This window comes from Homo sapiens, chromosome 5, assembly GCF_000001405.40.
Source record: "Homo sapiens chromosome 5, GRCh38.p14 Primary Assembly".
In the NCBI taxonomy this organism is placed as follows: domain Eukaryota; kingdom Metazoa; phylum Chordata; class Mammalia; order Primates; family Hominidae; genus Homo; species Homo sapiens.
Window position 1 is genome coordinate 32,584,658 of NC_000005.10, and position 21,818 is coordinate 32,606,475.

The following is a 21,818-nucleotide window of genomic DNA, read 5'->3' on the forward strand; positions in this document are numbered from 1 at the left end:
GGATTCCATCCTCTACTTTGTAAAATCCCATACCATTCCTCTACCTGAGGCAGGAAAATAGGGTCTGGAGGGAGAGAACATAAGGACAATTCACGCTTCAGCTGTAACAGGAAATATCCTCTCCATAGGGCGTTAACTTTGGTTTCCTCGTCTATAAAATGGAGAGAACAGTCATTTCTGCTTTGGAACATGCTTGTTAGGATGAGTAATGTAAATTGCCTCCTGCAGCGTCTGACACGTAGTGGGTGCTTGATAAATCTTTGTTAATAGATATGCCTTTATATTGATTCTTAGCTGTAGGAAGTATTCATTCAAATACATATTCAAATAATCTTTTAGCTATATTCCTGCTTGTATATGGATTCCTCTTGCCTTCTGTGAACTCCCTTACATCTCCAGGACTTCAATACAGGAATAAGGAGTACTCCAAAGATTTCTTGCACTTTCTGGAATTAAACGCTGTGACTTTAGCTTCCTTCCTTTGGATTTTAGGAGGCAGAGGCATGTATTGAGGTGGGTGAAGTGGGGTAGGAAGACCATTTCTGGGAAAATGGGCCAGAGTATTGATCTTTTTCATTATGACCCCTTCGCTTCATTAGAGTAAACATTTATTGAACAAACGCAAAGCTTGGCGCTTGTCACTCATGTTTTATTGGCGTTTTCCTTTTTTTTAATTTTTTTTTAAGCTATCTCCTACAGGAAGGATATTAGCTCTTTCATTCTCTCAAGGGTCAGATGTAATCTTCCAACATCTGACTTTCGCGTCACCCATTTAGGAAGAGACGCGGTCCCTTTAAGGCCCTGGAAAGGGTCTAAGTGTTGGTTTCTGTGGGGAGGCCACGCCCCATCACGTGACCGCAGCCCCAGCGCGGCGGGGCCGGCGTCTCCTGGCTGCCGTCACTTCCGGTTCTCTGTCAGTCGCGAGCGAACGACCAAGAGGGTGTTCGACTGCTAGAGCCGAGCGAAGCGTGAGTGCGCGGGACCCCCTACCCCTACTCCTCGGGGCCCCCACCCTCCCAGCCGGGCCGTGAGCTGCCTTCGGCCCTCCACTCCTCTCGCCGGCAATGGCCGCGGGAAATGGCGGCTCTGCCTTACCTCCCCCTTCCCCTCGGCGTCCCCGGCCCCCTTCTCCGTTTCTGACTCCACGCCTGACGCGCTGTGGGCCCTTCCGCGGTAGACTCCTGTCCCCGGGGAGCCGAGTCGAGGCGGCGGGCGCTGCGGCCCGGGGCGGTAGATTGAGGGCGGCCGGGGAGTGAGGAGTCGCGGGGAGAGAGTCGCGGCGTCCCCGGGACAATGCGGCGGCGGCCTGCCTAGGTGGGGCGCGTGCGGTTACCTACTCTTCCCCCGCCCCTCGCCCTGAGCGGGGCGCTCTGGAGACTGGGAGAGCGGATGCGGGCGGGAGGGGGCCGGGGGAAGAACGGCTGATGTGCAGGGGGAGGGAACGCTTCGAGAGAAGAAAATGGCGCTTGGTGCAAATCCCGCCCCTTCCCACGCCGTCTTCTCCGCACTTCGCCGCCTCCCACGCCCCCTCCGACCAACCTGTCTCCCCTCGCCCGAGCGGCTGCTAGCCACGGGGTTCTAGCGGCTTGCTGGGGCCGCGCGACCCCTTCCCTGGTCTTGTGCTTGTCACCTTCCTGTTATACCGAAGTCGTGTGCCCTTCAGTCCTGGTTCATTTTCACCTCGTTTTTTTCTGATCTTTCCCTCAATCAGCAAAGGCTGAAGATTTCGTTTCTCTTTTTAAAGTTGCGTTTTGTATAAATTCTACAATAGTGGTTTCAGTATCAGTTACTTGAATTACAAGCTGCTTCTCCCCCCACCCCCACATTGGAACAGGCTCATTAAGGTAAATATATATTTGTTAAAAGTTTAGAGGCTGGTTTTAGTTACCGTTACCTTTCTTCTCCAGTGGACTTCTTTGGGTTGAGTACCAGGTGGTTCTTTGAAAAATTCTTAGGCCCCCAGGCAGTTTTTGATAACAGACGGTAGTTATGATCGACAGTTTCAAAGTGAAAAATTATGTTCAATTTAATTACCTTTTTAAAAAATATCTTTTTGTCGTATTAATTAGCATAAAAAACTTAACTAAATTGATTTTAGAGATGAGGTTGCAAAATGGAGCAGAAACAGGAAAAACGGATAAAACGTGGTCATGAACATTGCTTTTCCCTTCTGAATTTACCCTTGAAGACATTACCAGTTAAAATCAGATTGAGCTTTTTGAATTTAATGGCTAGGATTGGGGTGGCCCACTTCTTTTTCCTTGACCTCCTATTTTGGAACATATGCAATGTCAGTGCTAATGCAAGTTTCATCTAGAGAGCTAGATTATTTATGATTTTTTTTTAAGGAGGAATTTTAAGTCTTTTTTTCTTGTATTAAACAAATACAGTGTGTGATGTGTTTATTAGGCCCTTTAACGCATACAGAAATTAGCTAATTTATGCCTAGTGTTCCATTATTGGAACGCTAAGCATGTGGGAGTTATTTATGTGCTACTGCTCAAGATCATCGCCAAGGTCTGCTTGCATAAATTCAAAAAATTGCAACCTCTGGCATAAATGGGTTAATAGGACCTAATCTCTTCTGAGATGGGGAGAGCAAAAGATATTTTGATAATCAGCGTTTTATGACCTGGTGTTATAAGTGCCTTGAATAGAGGTATCCACGTATCTTGGAATTCCTTGAAATTTGGGGCTTAGGCTTACTGATAGTTTGCTTTCTGCAAACTTGCACTCAGGCACTCAGTAAACACCCACTTGTAAGCAAGGCACTAAGTTATCTATGTCTCTGGGGGGACCTGGGAAGTTACCAGCATGGTAGGAATTTGCGGGAAGGTTTTGCACCTCCCATAAATAGGTTTTGCACCTCCCATAAATAGGTTCTTCAAATTTTAATTATGTTCCAGAGTAGAAAAATCTGTGTAAAATGTAATGAATTGCTGTGAATTGTGTAAGATTTTTTTTTTTTTTTGAGATGGAGTCTTGCTTTGTTGCCCAGGCCGGAGTGCAATGATGTGACCTTGTGTCACTGCAACCTCTGCCTCCGGTGTTGAAGCGATTCTCCTGCCTCAGTCTCCCGAATTGCTGGGACTACAGGTGTGCCACCGTGCCCTGTTAATTTTTGTATTTTTAGTGGAGATAGGGTTTCACCATGTTGGCCAGGCTGGTCTCGAACTCCTGACCTCAGGTGATCCGCCTGCTTTGGCCTCCTAAAGTTTTGGGATTACAGGCGTGAACCATCGTTCCCGGCCTGAATTGCGTATAATTTTGTGTACTCTTGAATTAGTACCTGTCGTTATTTTGGTGATACGGCCAAAAAGTCAAAATATGAATAAAATATTATGTAAAAATTAATTAGATGTCACATTTGCATAGTACAGCTAGTTCCCTGTTGTGTAAATGTTGGGGTCAGTTCCCCATAGTGAATAATTTTACGTTAGTTCCAATCTCGTTGATGAGAAGTCTAAAGCAGTAATAGTAGAATTACATTTCTTCTGGTTTTAATAGTAATTGTTGTCTGCTGCCTTCTTGCAGTTTACCCTACCCATAGTGTGTAATGCCATTAAAACGAAGTATAGAAAGATCCATTGGCCTGGAGAAAGGTTAGAGGTGTAGGAGTGTATGACATTTAGTTCATTGTTCTTACTGGGTTCAGCACATTGCACCCTGCGTGTTATTTGCAACTTAAAAGGGTATAGATTAAAACTTGTGCTCAGTGTAACAACTCAGTACCACAAAAATGGTAGAATGAACCGTGGAACTTGTCCTTGATTTTTTTCTTTGATTGGGGGAGAGCTAAGTTGAAAGTAGTAGAGTACCTTATTAATTATTTTTGTAATGTATTTTTCTTTCAGGATGCCTAAATCAAAGGAACTTGTTTCTTCAAGCTCTTCTGGCAGTGATTCTGACAGTGAGGTTGACAAAAAGGTGACTACTGCTGCACCAAGTCATTTTGGTGATACTCAACAATATTGTCCATATCCCATTCTGAAGGATAGTAAAAGGTGTATTAACATCTTAAAATGAGGATCTAGCTGGGCGCGGTGGCTCATGCCTGTTATCCTACTTCTTTGGGAGGCCGAGGTGGCAGGATTGCTTGAGGCCAAGAGTTCAAGACCAACCAGGCTAACATAGCAAGAACCTGTCTCTTTAAAAAAATAAATAAATAAAAAATAAAAAATAAGAATGTGAATGGGTATTTCTGGAGGTACGGTTGGTCTCTGGACCACTTGACTAGAAGTGCCTAGGATGCTTTTTGCACATTCATACTCATAGGCCCTAAATCAGACTTAACAAGTCTTCTGTTGAGCATCATTAGGAACCCTAAAGTTGCAGAAACACTGCCTTGCATCCTAGGGTCATAGAATTCTAAGTAGGCCAAAGTCACTATTTGCCGTTATTTAGAAATTTACCAGATTTTTTTTTGTAAAATGTTAATTTTTTTTTTTAAAGACAGGGTCTTACTCTCTTGCCGAGGCTGGAGTGTGGTGGCACCATCATGGCTCACTGCAGCCTCGACCTCCTGGTCTCAAGCAGTCCTCCCACCTCTGCCTCCAGAGTAGCTGGGACTACAGGCATCATGCCTGGTTAATTAAAAAAAAAATGTTTTTGTAGGGACCAGGTATTGCTGTGTTGCTAAGGCTGGTCTCAAACTCCTGGCCTCAGGCAATTCTTCTGCCTCAGACTCCCAAAGTGCTGGGATTACAGGTGTGAGCCATCATGAGTGGCCATAAAATGTTAATTTTGACAGTTCTCTTAGTTACTGGTGTTTATTCTGCACATAAGGTTTTCTGAATTTTAGACTTGGTACATTTTTAAGTTTGTACTAAGTTTGTGCTCTGGTCCCTTCCATTTAATTAAATCAGCACGCAGTAAAGCTAACTTGAAACCCATTGACAAGATAGGCTTTTTCTGCATTAGATGACAGCTGCACCGTAATTGGTGAATTTCGCTAAATTGAGCATCTCAGTGGAGCATAACTGAGCGTCTCACTCTGCGGTCAAGTCTTCCGTGCAGAATTGTCTTTTATCGCATAGAACTTTACATATCTGAAGAGATATTTATATCCTAGAAATAGAATAAGTTGGTCGTGTTTTTCCTAATTAGTATATATCCTTTGTAAAATAGTAAGTAATGACTAGCACTGGTAGACCTGTGATTTCCGAAAGTTTATTCAAAAGAAGCAGGCTCCCTATCTTTTTTTTTTCCTCCTGAAGCTTAGCAATTTTAGCTAAAAGAAAAGGGGAGAGCGTATGGGAGATTGGAGAAGTTGCAACCTTAAAGTATAAATATAGAATATAACAACACATGGAAGGGTAAAATAAGGCTTCAAAGACTATACTTGAGTAAATTTCTTAATTTTAAAATTTGCACCCTATATAGTATTTGAGTATGTTGATGTAACACATGTGTATTGAGCTTTTATTTGCCAGACATGCACTATTCCACAGGGAATACTTAGAGCCTGATTTATAGAATAATTGCTTTCTGCATATTGAGCTAACTTTTTGTTTGTCCCAAATAGTAATATTACTCTTGTAAACACTTAACCTTGTATACCACATTTTTCATTTCATGTTTTACATGTATATAATATTTTTCCTAGCTTCATCTAATTTGGTAACATTCAATTAATTTAGTAACATTAAAATATTTATACTATTCCATCAAGAAGGAACATGACTGCCCTCTTCTGTTTGGGTTGGGTATTGTAGTGGTTTTTATGGGTTAGCTCTTTTTGAGAATGCGACTTTCTAATAAGCTTTTAAAATAATGCTGTTTTTAAAACAACGTTGTGATTTTTGAAAGCTAGTCTAACACATAGCTGTCTACAATGATTTTTTTTTTTTTTGTAATGAGGAAGTTCTTGAGTTGCTGGCTGTCAGTGCCCAGTGCAAAATAGCTCTCTAAAGATTTGCCTAATTGTAAATTCCTTTTTTTTTAATTTTTTATTTTGAGATGAAGTTTTGCTTTTGTTGCCCAGGCTGGAGTGTAATGGCGCGATCTCGGCTCACTGCAACCTTCGCGTCCCGGGTTCAAGCGATTCTCCTGCCTCAGCCTTCCGAGTAGCTGGGATTACAGGCGTGTGCCACCACGCCTGGCTAATTTTTTTTTTTTTTTTTTTTTTTGAGATGGAGTATCGCTCTGTTGCCCAGGCTGGAGTGCAATGGCACGATCTCGGCTCACTGCAACCTCAGCCTCCTGGATTCAAGCAGTTCTCTGCCTCAGCCTCCCTAGTAGCTGGGATTATAGGTGCCCACCACCACGCCTGGCTAACTTTTTTTGTATTTTTAGTGGAGATGGGGTTTCACCATGTGGCCAGGCTGGTCTCGAACTCCTGACCTCAAGTGATCCTCCCGCCTCGGACTCCCAAAGTGCTGGGATTACAGGTGTGAGCTACCGCGCCCGGCCCATAAATTCCTTAAGCCAGCATAAATTCCTTTTGGAATAGGCAGGACATAAATAAACATATCCTGGAAATGGAATAAGTTGGTTATATTCTTTTTAATTAGTATATCTGCTTCGTAAAATAAGTAACTGACTAGCCTTAGTAGACTGTGGTTTCCAGGTTTATTCAGAAGTAGCAAGATCCCTCCATTTTTTTTTCTACCAAAGAAATCGTATGTGGGATCCCAAACCACAAAATAACCGTTCCTGTGGTTAATACTACTATAATGCCTGAAGTGTCTTTTGGGATCCTGAGAACAGAGTTTGAAAACATTACTAGACAGAAGGATTGGTTAGATTCATAGTTTTGTTGTTGAGTGAAACTTGCTTATGTATATATTTATGATATTTTGGATGTAGTCTTTTGATTGTTTAAATCTTAAAAAGTAATGGGATCTTTTGACACTGGGGTATGTTTTATTTTTATGTGTGCAAATTTTAACCATATTCTTTTCTAGTTAAAGAGGAAAAAGCAAGTTGCTCCAGAAAAACCTGTAAAGAAACAAAAGACAGGTGAGACTTCGAGAGCCCTGTCATCTTCTAAACAGAGCAGCAGCAGCAGAGATGATAACATGTTTCAGGTAAAGTTGGCTATTTTTTTTTTTTTTTTTTTTGACATGGAGTCATGCTCTGTCACCCAGGCTGGAGTGCAGTGGCGCCATCTCGGCTCACTGCAACCTCAGCCTCCTGAGTTCAAGCAGTTCTCTGCCTCAGCCTCCCGAGTAGCTAGGATTACAGGCATCCGCCACCAGACCTGGCTAATTTTTGTATTTTTAGTAGAGATGGGGTTTCACCATCTTGGCCAGGCTGGTCTTGAACTCCTGACCTTGTGATCCAACTGCCTCAGCCTCCAAAAGTGCTGGGTTTACAGGTGTGAGCCACCATGCCTTGCCAAAGTTGGCTGTTTCTTTAGATTCAGAGGAATTATTATCTGGCTTGATCTGAAGAATGTTAAAAGTACTATGATCTGATAATTGCCTAATATGTATGTTACAATCTTCTTAACTAGGGACATTTATTAAAATAGAACAAACTAGTAAAAGTATTTTGTACGATGCTGGATTATTGTTAAAGTCTCTAAAGTCTAGTTTTGCTGTATTTAAACCAATGCAAATTTAATTGAGAACTGCACATTTTGAAAGCAACTTGGAGGAGGCAGGTCAAGTGTTGGGACAGTAAAGTATGAATAGATTATTATGGGACAGGAAGCAGCAATGTGACATGCCTAATTTTGGCCTGATGAGCAACAGAAAAGGGGAATGGGTTGAATAGATAAAGTGAAGGAAGTTCATTAGAGGGACTTGATGAAATCACCTAGAGAGGACTCGTATAGCTTTTTCTCTTGGGTTTCCTGTCTTGTTTTAGGGAGACTTGACACTGGCATCTTTGTACAAGAAGGATTTGTGAGGAAGGGATGTTGGGGAATAAATGAATGCAGGTGAGATTGCTTAGGTAATTGTAGGCTTTAATCTGTATGTGAGGTGATAAGGGCTTAGATGGTTTTTCCTAAAGAAGAAATTATGCCAATTACAAGATACAGGTTAGGAAGAATGGACCAGAGGAATTAGGCAGTCAGTGAAGATGTGGACTTGATTGTGGATGTGATTGAAAAAAAAAATGGTGTTGCTTCTGTAGCACCTGAAGGGCTTAGTTGGGAAATGTTCATGTGGGATTATCAGCATGGTTGACTAAAGCTGCCTACTGAAGTATTAAACAGAGGAAGAACAGGAAGCAGATGAGGGGATGTCTTGGGTTATATTCAGATAGAGAATGGAAGGAAAAAGAGGATGTAGGTTAAGAGAGAGGGTGAAGGAAAATTAGAAGAGTGCAGTAATGGGAGCAAGAAAAGGATGAGTGTTTCCAGGAGCTATAAGTATTAGTTGAAACCAAAAAGTTGGGTGGAACGAGACTACAATTTTTTTTTTGAGACAGGGTCTCTGCTCTGTCACCCAGGCTGGAGTGCAGTGGTGTGATCTCTGCTCACTGCAACTTCCGCTTCCTGGGCTCAAATGATCCTCCTGCCTCAGCCTCCTGAGTAACTGGGACTACAGGCAATGCTCCATGACGCCTGGCAAATTTTCTTTGTTGTTGGTAGAAACAGTATTGCCCAGGCTGGTCTTGAACTCCTGAGCTCAAGTGATGCGCCCACCTTGGCTTCTGAAAGTGCTGGGATTACAGGCGTGAGCCACCGTGACTGGCCAAGACTGTAGACATTTATATGACTAGAAAGTAAGGCTAACACATGTATATTTTGACCTGTTGATAACTTTGAAAGGTGGAGTGCCAAGATTAAGGTGAGAATGGGAAAATTTAAGTTTTTTTTTTCCTATTGCTTATTTTTGCCTTGTTATACTTCTAGGTAAAAAAGATAGACAAAGTGCAGATGAACTATTTAGTTCAGAACACACATTTTAGAGATTCTGTTCTGTTAAGAGGAGTTTTGTGAAAACTAGATCTAATTTTAGGAATTTTCTCACCAGAAAAACGGAGCTTCATTTCTTAAACCCTCATCTGGAAAGATTCCTAAGCCTCCTAAGGCTGACATTGCACCTTTTGAAAGCCTGCCTCTAGGAGGAACATAGGTCATCTTTTCTTTTTTTTTTTTTTGAGACGGAGTCTCGCTCTGTCACCAGGCTGGAGTGCAGTAGCACGAATCTCGGCTCACTGCAACCTCCGCCTCCTGGGTTCAAGAGATTCTCCTGCCTCAGTCTCCTGAGTAGCTGGGACTACAGGCATGCGCCACCACCCCCAGCCAATTTTTGTATTTTTAGTAGAGACGGGATTTCACCTGGTTGGCCAGGATGGTCTCGATCTCTTGACCTCGCCATCTGCCTGCCTTGGCCTCCCAAAGTGCTGGGATTACAGGTGTGAGCCACGGCGCCCAGCCTAGGCCTTATTTTCAGAGTGGCTTTCATGGATCTAGTAGTGTAGGCATTATGAAATAATATGATACTTAATTTCATTGCCATTACAGCTTGATGTACATCAAACATCAATACATAAGCAGTTCTCTAAATGTATTAAAGAGTTGTACCAAAGAAAAATCAATAGACTTATCTTTTAAAGTCTGAAGTGATTGGGGCAGAATCGTGACTAGAGAGAAGATACTAGAGATGCTTACTTCCTGGTTCCTTCAGCTCTGATTTTGAAGAACTTTCTTCCATAGGGATGTAGTCTACCTGAGGTGACATCTGTGATAGTAAAGAGACTGGAGAATTATCTCATAATTATTTAGTACCTGTGTCTTGAAAGGTCAGAATAGTTGAGGCAGGAAACTTTAATCCATATTTTTCTTCAGAGTTAGGCACAAAGGGTCAGTAATACTGCTTTAGTTTATTTGATGATTTAAGGATACTTGATACTTTTAAATTATTTAATTTAAAATGATTATAACTGGTCATTTTAATCTGGGGCAGGAGTCCATAGAATTGTTTTTTAATTTGAGTTTTCTTTTTTGTGTTTGAAGGAATTATTCATAACCTTTATCACAGGGGTCCCTCCTGCACAGGAGGTGAGCGGTGTGTGAGTGAACATTGCAGCCCGAGCTCTGCCTCCTGTCAGATCAGCAGCGGCATTAGATTCTCATAGGAGCGCGAACCCTATTGTGAACTGCGCATGCAAGGGATCTAGGTTGTGCGTTCCTTATTCCTTATGAGAATCTAATGCCTGATGGTGGGATAATTTTTATCCTGAAACGATCACCTTTCCCCTTCCCTACCTGCTGTGGAAAAATTGTCTTCCGTGAGACTGGTCCCTGGTGCCAAAAAGGTTAGGAACCACTGCTTTATCAGATCTTCAGAGGGGACAGGGAATCAAATTCGTATAAGAATCACAGTTCTTTATGATGTATATGCTATTTTTTGCTGCTAATCTCCAGATTTTGTGGATATAAAATATATTGTCATCTGATTTTATTTTTTTCCAATAAAATGTGATTTCAGTGATCTTTATTTTTTCTATCTTTAAGTAATATATCCCTATACTACTATCTCATCACTTGTTTAATTTTTGCTAATAAGAATTTGTCAGTTTTACTCTTTTTTTCCCCCCAAGGGAGAGGCAGCTGTTGGGCAGATTCCTTTTTTTTTTAAAAAAAAAAATGTTTTTGAGGTATAGTTTATGTCCAATAAAACGCACACATTTAAAAGCATACCTTGATAGGCTGTGGTAAATGTACACGCCTTTGTGGCCAGACCATTTTCATCACCCCAGGAAGTTCCTCTTGGCTTTACAGTCATTGCTCATGTCCTAGGTAATCACTGATCTTATTTCTACCACTATAGATTTATGTTGTCTCTTCTAGAACTTTGTATAAATGGATACATGCAGTCTATTTTTTGTGTCTGGCTTTTGCTCAGTATAATGTGTTGAGATTAGTTCTTGTTGCATATATCAGTAATTTTATTGCTGAGTAGTATTTTGTATGATAATACTACAACTTGTAAATCCATTCACCTTGGGTGGACATTGGGATTGTATCAAGTCTTGGGCTATTAGGAATACAACTGCTGTGAATATTCTTGTACAAGTCATTTTGTGGACATTTTTTCCCTTTTGGGTAAATACCAGATACATTTGCTGAGTCGTAGGGTAAATGTGTAACTGTATAAGACACTGTCAAACCATTTTCCATAGTAGCTGTAGCATTTTACACAGCCATCGGTACTACTTAGGAGATTCCAGTTGCTCCACATCCTCGCTAGATATTGTCAGTCTTTTAAGTTTTTTTCTTTTTAGTTACATTGAATGTATAATGGTAGCTCATGGTGGTTTTACTTTCCATTTCCCTCATGTACATGTCTTAATTCATTGTACATCTTTAGTGTGTTTATTGGTTATTTTTATATCTTTTGTGAAGAGTATCTTTTGGCCACTTAAAATGCCAGGTCATTTGAGTTGTAACACTTTATATATTTTGTCAGATGTAAGTATAATTAATATTTTTTTTAGACTTCAGGGAAACTTTAGTTTTCAAAGCAATCTAGTTCAAAAATGAGTGGAGGTTAACAGAGAGGAAAATATGAAACCAGAGAGAATCAAACAGACAGAATAAGGGGGGACTGGCAGTTGGTCAGGGGCGTCTGTGACAGATCTTCTCTCTCTTGGAAATGAGGTCCTCACGGATTCTGGTCAGTTCATCATTTTCTTCACGTCCACGGTTCTGCTTCTTCCTCAGGCTCTCCTCGAAGGCCAAGACCCCTGTGGCTCCAACTTGAGTGAATATTTTCTTTAGGTTTCTGGTTTACCTTTTTATTTTCTGAAGCATCTTTTTAAAAAAGGCTTTAGTGTGATTGTCTATTCTATCGATTTTTCTCCTTTTTTGCTTAATGCTTATTTTCTGTCCAAGACGTATTTTGCCTACCATGGCCACAAAAATTTTTGCCAGTGTTTTTTCCTAGAAGTTTTATAGTTTTAGTTTTCACATTTAGGTCTATAATTCATGTAGAATTAATTTCTCTGTGTATGATGTAAGATAGAGATTTAGAGTCTTCCCCACCCCAAATGCAGATAGCCTGTTGTTTCAACACCATTTGTTGAAAAGAGTATTCTTATTCCTTTGAATTACCTTGGATTTTACCCCCTCCCCCCAAAAAAATCAGTGAATATATCCAATGCGTGTGTATTTTTTGACTCCGTTGTGTTCCACTGACCTCTTATGTCTGTCTTTACTCCAGTACTGCATTGTCTTCCCTTACTATATTATAGTGAGTCTTGGAAAGTGCTAAGAGACACTTTGTTGAGGAAAGCCTGTTCTTTTCTCTGGAATTTGTAATTTGTGGTAAGCAGATATATAAGATTTTTGAAAAATAATTTTCTGTGAATATTTTTAAGTTCTCAATCTGACTGTGAGTGAGGTGCATTAAAGATGTTATTTGAAGTGAACATGAAAAGGAAAAACTTGGTTGTTATTGACTGGAACTCTGGATTCGTATATTCAGAATGGTTGGTGAAGCAGTGTAGCTAGTTGCATCTGTGGATTCCTCTTGGTTGTAGTTTGTACTGCAAAATATTGCTTCCTAATGATTTTTTTTTTTGCTGGTAAAAACCATAAAAGTATATTCACATTGTTGTGAAACAGATTGCCGAAACTGTTTCATCTTGCAAAACTGAACCTCTGTGGCCATTAAACAACAGTTCCCCTTCTCCCAGCCCTGGTAACCACCATTCTACTTTTTGTTCCTGTGAACTTGACATCATGTAAGTGGAATCATAAAGTATTACCTTTTTCCTTTTTATGACTGGCTTATTTCATTGACGTAGTATGTAACAGGATTTCCTTTTTTAAAAGCTAATTGATATTCCATTGTGTGTCTATTCCACCCCCCCTCTCCCATTTTGTTTATCAGTTCATCTCTGGGTGGATATTTGTGTTGTTTCCACTTCTTGGCTCTTGTGAATAATGCTGCTATGAACATGGGTGTGCAGATGTCTCTTGGAGTCTGTGCTTTCAATTTTTTGGGATATATATTCAGAAGTAGGATTGCTGGATCATATGATAGTTTAAACAGCAATTTCCTTTGGTTGCAGTTTTGATACTGAGAGTAGTACAGTTGACCCTTGAACAATGCAGGGTCAAAATGCAAGGCACCAACCCCTGTGCAGTTGAAAATCTGGTTATAACTTTTGACTTTGTCAAAACTGCTAAGTATAGCCTACTGTTGACTGGTAGCCTTAACAGTAACATAAACAGTTAACATATATTTGTATGTTATATGTATTATATACTGTATTCTTACAATAAAGTAAGCTAGAGAAAAGAAAATATTACTAAGAAAATCATAAGGGAGAAAAATTACATTTTACTGTACTGTATGGTGTTTATCAATAACATTAGTTTACGTTGTCTGTTTATAAGATATGTCATCTGTTAATAAAATATGTCATCTGTTAGAAATTGTAGGCAACCACAGCTGCAGATTTCAGTCCGTGGTACATATCAAGCAATTCAACTTTTTTATTTTTATTTTTATTTTTATTTTTTTGCATTTTAAAATTAAAGACAGGATCTTGCTGTGTTGCCCAGATTGGATTCAAGCTCCTGGGCTCAAGTGATCCTCCGGCCTCAGCCTCCTGAGTAGCTGGGATCATAGGCATGCACCACTGCTTCTGGCAGTTTTTTTCTTGTGATGTCATGCCTTCTCTCTGCTTCTTGGGAGCACTTTCAGCATCACTAGGGGCACTTTGTATAGGACTCATGGTGTTATTTAAAGTTTATGGTATTGCAGTAATCATGATGAAAAATAATGTGAAAACCGTGAGAGATCACTTTTTACTGCAATACGCAATTTGTTGGAGACATGAACTGCTCAGCAGAGATGATTAGCATCACATGGTGTTTTACACAAGGTGTTTTAAGCAGATACTTGTAACATTTGAGTACACTGAGATAACAGGAAGTGGCTATGAAGTTAACACTAGTACACTACTGTAGTTAATTTTATGCAGTTATGAATTAATACTCCATCTTTGTTTACATTTCTCTCTAACTTCATATAATAGATTTGTATGTTTTATGATAGTAAGTGATAAAATAACCTCATATCTAGGTATGTTTTATGCATTCATGACATACCTAACTTTTTCTTAATGTTTTCGTTATTTCTAGGCTATGCAGTTGTTCTGTGAGTTTTTTCAAATTGTCAAGTCTGCAAAAATTTTTCCAGTATATTTATTGAAAAAAATATGCATATAAGTGGGACCTGCACAGTTCAGAGCCATGTTGTTCAAGGGTCAGCAGTAGTCATTTTCATGATTAGATGTAGAGTGAGCATGCAGCAAGTTGTGAATATGAATACAATTGAAACAGATACCACTCTTGAAAGGAGCACCTCTTTTTATGTTTGTTTCTTTTGCAGATTGGGAAAATGAGGTACGTTAGTGTTCGCGATTTTAAAGGCAAAGTGCTAATTGATATTAGAGAATATTGGATGGATCCTGAAGGTGAAATGAAACCAGGAAGAAAAGGTGAGGTCTAATTACTTGAATTTTATTACAGTGTTAGGACTAAACGACAACTTTTCTGAGTAGCTTACTTGAAATGTTGGCAGGACACACGGGGCAAGGAAGAGTCTTACTCAATTGATTCTCTATCTTCTGTAGTTATTTTGGACATGATACTTAACATTTTTTTAATGAGATGTCTTAATACAGCTTTTGGGAATAAAACCCAGAAAAGTAACACCCCTAATATCACTTCAGTTGGCTGCTAATTTACTTGAACAATTTTTAAAAAGGTTTATGCAATTCTGAAGCAGATTAGGCACTATCTGGGAACTTGTAAAATCAGGAATGGAAAATCTTGGTTTACAATGCTTCCTTTTGATTCAGCTCCTAAAAGCTATTCTTTAGGGCATTACTCTTCAAGCGGATCTCTGCTTTCCTTCCATTTGTGCTTCATCCAGTCCCAAGCCTCTTAGCATTGTAGAAACATATTTTGTATAATTCACCAAACAGCTAGAGAAGGTGAGCCAACCTAAATTTGTATATTTGGATTGCTGCTCTAGGTTGACCCTCAGCTAAAGAAAAATGCTTCCTTATTTAGTTTTATTCTGCCTGCCTGTTAGTTTGAAAGGTACCACTTGTTTGCTTCATGCAGTTTTTTTTTTTTTGGTTAAACTCAGCCTCTATATGTGTTTATATGCTTTCATATTTTCTTCAAGTCACTTCTGGATTGGTAATTCACGTACCAGAGTGGCCGATGCCATATTTCTTGTTTATTCTTTTTTTTCAATTTCATGGCCTTCCAGCAGTTTTCTGGGAATACTTTCTGCCAGTTCTTGTTTACTTCTCTGTTTATATGCGTCGGTATTGGAATGCTAGAACGTTAAAGTACAAAATATAGAAAATATAAAATTTCTGTTCATACTTTTACATCTTAAACTGGAAAGACATATCTCACATTTTTTAACCATTTATGTGTTAGGTGATATGCTAAGTTCATTATTCATGTTACTTAATCATTTACAACAACTCTTTGGCGTATAGATGCCATTTTACTGGTGAGGAAACTAAGGCTTACAAGGTGATGTAGTTCTTTTTTAAGGGTCATACACTTAGTGAAAGTGAGGCTGGAATTTTAACCCTGATAGGGTGACCCTAGAGTGCAGTTACCCGGGTATACTCTCTGAGGAGTCCTGTATGAATCACGTCCTGGGAATTTTTCCAAAGTGAAATGAATGCTTCTGGAAGAACTCAGCACAATTGGCTTGAATTCCTGTGGAAATTTTGGGCAAATATTGGAACCAGCTGGAAATATAGTAATGGGGTATCACATGCCAAATCTGGACCTGACCATTTTAGCCTGATAGTTGACGGGTATTAGTAAGATGTGTCTTCAAACCCTTATTTATTCTCATTGGTTACAATAGGTACTATGCAGGATGCACTGTGGAAAGTAAGACTGGATATGAGATTGATAATGCTCAGTAAATTGTGATGATATGTAATTAACAAATGTAAGAGATATGATTTTCAGTATTGTAGCATTGTGTCCAAGTGGCAATTTTTTTTTTTTTTTTAGATGGAGTCTTGCTCTCTTGCCCAGGCTGGAGTGCAGTGGCATGATCTTGGCTCACTGTAACTTCCACCTCCCAGGTTCGAGCAATTCTCCTGTCTCAGCCTCTTGAGTAGCTGGGATTACAGGTGCCCACCACCATGCCCGGCTAATTTTTGTATTTTTAGTAGAGATGGGGTTTCACCATGTTGGGCCAGGCTGGTCTTGAACTCCTGACCTCAAGTGATCCACCCGCCTTGGCCTCCCAAAGTGCTGGGATTACAGGTGTGAGCCACCGCGCCCAGCCTAAAGTGGCAATTTTGATAAAACAGTATTCTAGTTGGAAGTATGAAAATCCTCAACGCTTAAATAGATTTTCACCTTTGAATTTTTAAACTTTGTTTTAGGTATTTCTTTAAATCCAGAACAATGGAGCCAGCTGAAGGAACAGATTTCTGACATTGATGATGCAGTAAGAAAACTGTAAAATTCGAGCCATATAAATAAAACCTGTACTGTTCTAGTTGTTTTAATCTGTCTTTTTACATTGGCTTTTGTTTTCTAAATGTTCTCCAAGCTATTGTATGTTTGGATTGCAGAAGAATTTGTAAGATGAATACTTTTTTTTAATGTGCATTATTAAAAATATTGAGTGAAGCTAATTGTCAACTTTATTAAGGATTACTTTGTCTGCCCACCACCTAGTGTAAAATAAAATCAAGTAATACAATCTTAACTGTTGTGGCCTTTTTTGATCATAAGAGTTGGTACTGTTTAAGGCCAAAAGTAACAGTTTTTATAGATCTTTTAGTTTCAACTCAGCTTTTACAATAAAAAGGATTTGTATTGCATTGAGTTTATAAACTTTTGGTTTGTGAACTTCATATTTGATCTTTTCTCTTCCAATCAAATGTCTAGGCTTGTTTGACTTCCACCCCCAATGGTTTTTCACTCTTTTTATTTACTTCATTTTCCTTTAATAACTTAATCTCTTCATGTTCAGTTTTTACTTCACTCTTTATTCTTTTCTTTGATTATGGTATGCTTATTTGGAAAGTCAGTGAAACTGTCAAAATGTTATCTCAATAAGATACTTATATGAGAACTACAATCACCGAATCTACTGTATTCAATATTAGCAGATCTAATTTGATAAACAACATGGCTTGTGTGAAAACTGAGCAGGTGTTTGTTTACCCATAGTGTTCTGTGTAGTTATTGCTTAGTCTGCAGAAAATAATGACTTAGATGAGATGTCTGACTTGCTTTCACTTATTAAACATGTTCACCATGGGATGATGTCTGTAACATCAGATATTGTTCAACTAGACTAGGATTTAATAAAAATTGTGAAAGCTTACTGGCCTAACATTTTATTTTATAATATTGGGTATGAATTATATGTAGCCAGAGATGTCATTAAGCTTTACTGTTATAGTAGGTAATATGGTTAGTTTGTAGGGAAAAGAGCATATGAGCACATGCTTGTGTATTTTGGCCTTTGCCCCAGTAGAACAGACCAATGGCATTCTAGACTTGATGATACTAAGTTTTAGCAGACACTAGTAAGTGGTTTGTATTTAACCATACTGATGAAGCAGACAGATTGAGGCACAGATTTTAGTGGCTTTGTGGCAATAAATAGGGCATGGTGTGCCTTAGGAAAAGAATGTTTATAAAGGGAATTATAACTGAAATTAAAGGAGGCGGCAGTGAAGAGGAAATAATTCTCTTCTATCTAAATGATATACATATGATATTTTGAGATTTTTATAACAGCAGTGGAACACAATTCTAGGTAGAGTAGAAAAAGGAAAGTTTTAAAGACATATAAAAGATTCTTGTTGACAAATTATTTTTGGTAGCAAATCTCAAATGGTTACCTGCTATTAAGGTCTGCCATATTAGAGTTTTGCACTATTTTGCTACCAAGTTTGATTCATACATCTAAAACATTTTGTAGTTACTTGTCAAGGACTTAATTTGAAAATCATTTGCCAGGCCACATAGTTATCAATTTTTTTTTCTATCAGCTATTCTGTTGTATTTCTAAAACATTTTTTAGATGACTTTTTAAAGTATATTTAGCAGTAACCTTATGAGGTTCAAATTGGTAAATCTCTTGTAATTTAGCCTTCATCGAATAATAGGTACCAGTGTATTAAAAATGTGTATTTTTTGCAGCCCCTTGAACCAGAGTAGGTTCAGAGAAACTCCCAAAGTTTGTACTTTAGACACATCATGCTTGATTGGTAACTTCCCTCCTTTTTTGGGGAACATGTTTGTGTCCTATTAACTTAATTGGATAGATTTTTAAATATTTCTTATTTTTGGCACACGGAAAGGGTAGTTCGAGTACAGAACTTTGATTTTTGGTGTAGATGCAGAGGGAATGATGGGTAAATTTCCTAGGTTTATGTGAATTTAGGGGGTGTATGCATTTTGAAACAATCTACTAACAGATGGTGCTGAAATCTATTACCTACATGTTTTCTAGTTGTTCAGCATTATGTTAATGAAGCCTCCATATAAGGAGTGTTTCTCTGGCACAGTTGGTAAGTTGACTGCTAACTTCATTTAAATGTGTTACTGGATATGCAGTATACTGAAATTATTAATCAGTTTGTGTATAGGAAAAGAGAACTGGGTTAAAAGCAAATTAACTTGTTCTGAAAAGAAAGTATAGATTAATTTTGTTTTCTGTTTAAATTTTATCTCCTTGGTAAAGATTTTTTTTTCCTGGGCAGAAAACTTGGCATTTTTAGGCGTAGATACCTTACCTTACAATGCCAAAATGAATTTAATTCCAGTACTCAGGTTTTTCCCTTTAACAGACTCTATGTGTATCAGGGCTTTCTAATGGGTTTTTCCTCTTCGTTTTTAAAATGTGAGTAGCATTTGACCAATTTCCAGTGCTCTTAGCATTTTACTTAAAGAACAACCACTACAAAAGAAAATCTTTGTAATTTGATTGTCTTTTGCTTTGCTTCATTAATGCCTAAGAACTTAAGAATACTCCTACCTCATTAGCTACTCAAGATGCTGTGACGATCAAATCTATTCTACATAATGCGTTTAGAAACAAAGACTTGGGTGAAAAATGAAATAAGTATATTCTGACTTGGCTATTGAGGGGAAAATTCAGTATTAAGTGTTCCTCACAGGAGATATGTTAGCAGAATACTATAAAAGTTTGAAATTTTTAAAAAGTAAAAGTACTTAAATTTAGGTATCTCTCCTGAAATTCTTTGCAGTTCATTTTTTATGGCAGTTAATCCAGTGAAACACTCAAAAGTTTTTTTTTTTTTAAAAGTGTTTTTCCAGATAAACTGTAGGGTGAACATTCACATAATCACAAATATGTAATTCTGTAATTGTGGAATGCTTGTATGCTTTGTTTTCGTACATCTTCCATGGAGATGTCTGAATATAATACTCCATCTGTGAATATTTTAAATGTTGAAATAAAAGTAAGAAATGTGCCCTTTGTGTTATCCCGGTTTCACAAACCTGAAGGTAAATGGGTAATTTGTCTGTTGAATGAGTTTTATTAATAGAATGCCTTTCTGTGTGAATGCTTTGGAATGTGGATTAGTCTTGGGTCCGTCCTTTCCATCTACCTGATCCAAATGGAAAAATGCAAACACTTAGGTGTACACAGCCTCTTTTTTTTTCTTTCTCCCTTTAAGTGCTTTGTAGTCTAATGATTCCTTCATATACTTGACTGGTGTCATGGACTCCTTTGAAGATTTCAAATTTACATTTTCATTTATGAAGTCCCTATTTTGCCCTTGGTTATTGTTTTTGTTTATATGTTGAGGCCCCATTTCAATTTCTGTTTAGGAATAGAAAGATCCATGGTATATTCACTTAACTGTAAATTTGCTTTTAGTAAAACATAATTCAGCCAGAAGAAGGAAAAAAAGAGTACTTGGAGTTCACACAATTAATCACTGACTTCATAGTTTTGTAGTATGGCTCAAAGGGAGTTACTGGGATAGGAAGGGTATTTGCAAAGTACTAATAAACATTTAAAAAAATTATATGGAATTAGTTACTATATAACAGTTCACCTAATAGTTGTGTCCATTTTAGTAAAAGATCTTGCTACAGCCCGGTGCGGTGGCTCACACCTTTAATCCCAGCACTTTGGGAGGCCAAGGCGGATGGATCACTTGAGGTCAGGAGTTCGAGACCAGCCTGGCCGACATGGTGAAACCCCATCTCTACTAAAATACAAAAATTAGCTGGGTATGCTGGTGAGCACCTGCAATTCCAGCTACAGTGGAGGCTGAGGCAGGAGAATTACTTGCACCCAGGAGGCAGAGGTTGCAGTGAGCCGAGATTGTGCCACTGTACTCCAGCCTGGGCAACAGAGTGAGACTGTCTCAAAAAAAACAAAAAAACAACAAAAAAAGCTTGCTACATGAACAGGACTTTTCTTTGCCCACTTGCTTCATTCACATAAGCCCCTTACAGAGTCCACACCTTCCCAGACCTGCTTTTATAGACATTTTAGTCCTGGATTAATAGTGACCCACTGCCTAAGTGAAATGCTCCTCTTCACTTTTTAGGTTCTTGATAGTTTAAATGGTTTATCCTTCTGCTGGATAACTTACTGCATAGTTAGGAGATAAGATTTATGCCACTTTTTAACTGCTCCTGAATTTCAACTCATTTCAATAGTTGGATAATGTAACCTCCATGGGTAACAGGAAGACTGTATATGTAGTTCAGAAATCAGCTGAAGTTGTCTATGTAGTAACTCACGTATCTTGAAAAGTGATGTGAAAGTTCCAGTTTTGCCTTCCTAAGTAAGCTAAGCCCAAGTCTTTTAAAATGTTATGTATTTATTTTTTGAAGAGACAGGGTCTTTCTGTGTTGCCCAGGCTGGAGTGCAGTGGCTGTTTACAGGTGTGATCCTAGCGCACCATGGCCTTGCACTTGTGGGCCCAGGTGATCCTCCTGCCTTAGCCTTCCTAGCATCTGTACACTGCAGGTGTATACCACTGTGTCTGCCAAGCCCAAGTCTTTTAATAGCTCCTATTCTGAAGGCTTTATTTTTCAAGTATGTAGTTGTTGCAGGAATGGTACAGAAAACTCCCATGTACCCCTCCACTCAGAGACCCCATTCAGATTTTGTGAGTTTCAGTGTCTTTTAGCAAAAGCATGTAACACAGGATCACGTGTCTCATTTGATTCTCTCTTTACTTCAGTTTCCTTCAGCCTGACAGTTCCTTAGTTTTTCCTTGACTTTTACAACTTTGATGTTTCTGAAGATTTGGTAACATGAAGGCCATTGGTGGTGGTGACAAGGGTGGGGAGGGCAGAGGCTGGTTGAGTGAGGAGTGGAGACTGTGTGTAAGTTCATTTGAGCAGCTTGGTTGTGAAGGATAAAGAAAAATAGGATGGTGGCTGTAGAAGGGTGTGGGATCCAGGGCAGAGTGTGATTGAAATTACAGTGTGCAGCATCTGAAGGAAGGTGGTAAGGTTCCTAACTTCTTCGGTATGAATTTAAGTTGACCTTTGGTGTCAGCAATGGTTTCTTTTTTTTTTTTTTTTTTTTTCCTGAGACGGAGTCTTGCTTTGTTTCCCAGGCTGGAGTCAGTGGCGTGATCTCGGCTCACTGCAAGCTCTGCCTCCCAGGTTCACGCCATTCTCCTGCCTCAGCCTCCCGAGTAGCTGGGACTACAGGCGCCCGCCACCGCGCCCAGCTAATTTTTTGTATTTTTAGTAGAGACGGGGTTTCACCATGTTAGCCAGGATGGTCTCGATCTCCTGACCTCGTGATCCGCCCGCCTTGGCCTCCCAAAGTGCTGGGATTAAAGGCTTGAGCCACCACACCCGGCGTCAGCAACAGTTTCAACCACTTCCCACT

At 39.1% G+C, this 21,818-nt stretch overlaps 1 protein-coding gene across 3 annotated transcripts, besides 2 other annotated features; it reads left to right on the forward strand.

Annotated features, from left to right (window-relative positions):
* Positions 1-899: 899 nt before the first annotated feature.
* On the forward strand, positions 900-19,422 carry SUB1 (SUB1 regulator of transcription). 3 transcript variants are annotated; one of them, XM_047416661.1, is made up of 6 exons: positions 900-1,314; positions 1,712-1,844; positions 3,855-3,927; positions 6,906-7,028; positions 14,304-14,412; positions 16,348-19,422. In XM_047416661.1, the coding sequence occupies exons 3-6, from the start codon at positions 3,856-3,858 to the stop codon at positions 16,425-16,427; spliced, it is 384 nt and encodes a 127-aa protein (XP_047272617.1). In that variant the 5' UTR covers positions 900-1,314; positions 1,712-1,844; position 3,855; the 3' UTR covers positions 16,428-19,422. The 3 variants fall into 3 exon arrangements, with proteins under 3 accessions (XP_047272617.1, XP_011512246.1, NP_006704.3); XM_011513944.4 differs by having other exon boundaries at positions 1,835-1,844; NM_006713.4 differs by lacking the exon at positions 1,712-1,844 and having other exon boundaries at positions 900-968.
* Positions 1,074-1,173: a silencer, noted in NCBI's record as "silent region_15959". NCBI's record gives its function as "represses an Ori minimal core promoter by ATAC-STARR-seq in GM12878 lymphoblastoid cells {active_cell/tissue: GM12878}" and the evidence as "EXISTENCE:reporter gene assay evidence [ECO:0000049][PMID:35858748]".
* Positions 1,214-1,483: a silencer, noted in NCBI's record as "silent region_15960". NCBI's record gives its function as "represses an Ori minimal core promoter by ATAC-STARR-seq in GM12878 lymphoblastoid cells {active_cell/tissue: GM12878}" and the evidence as "EXISTENCE:reporter gene assay evidence [ECO:0000049][PMID:35858748]".
* Positions 19,423-21,818: the final 2,396 nt, after the last annotated feature.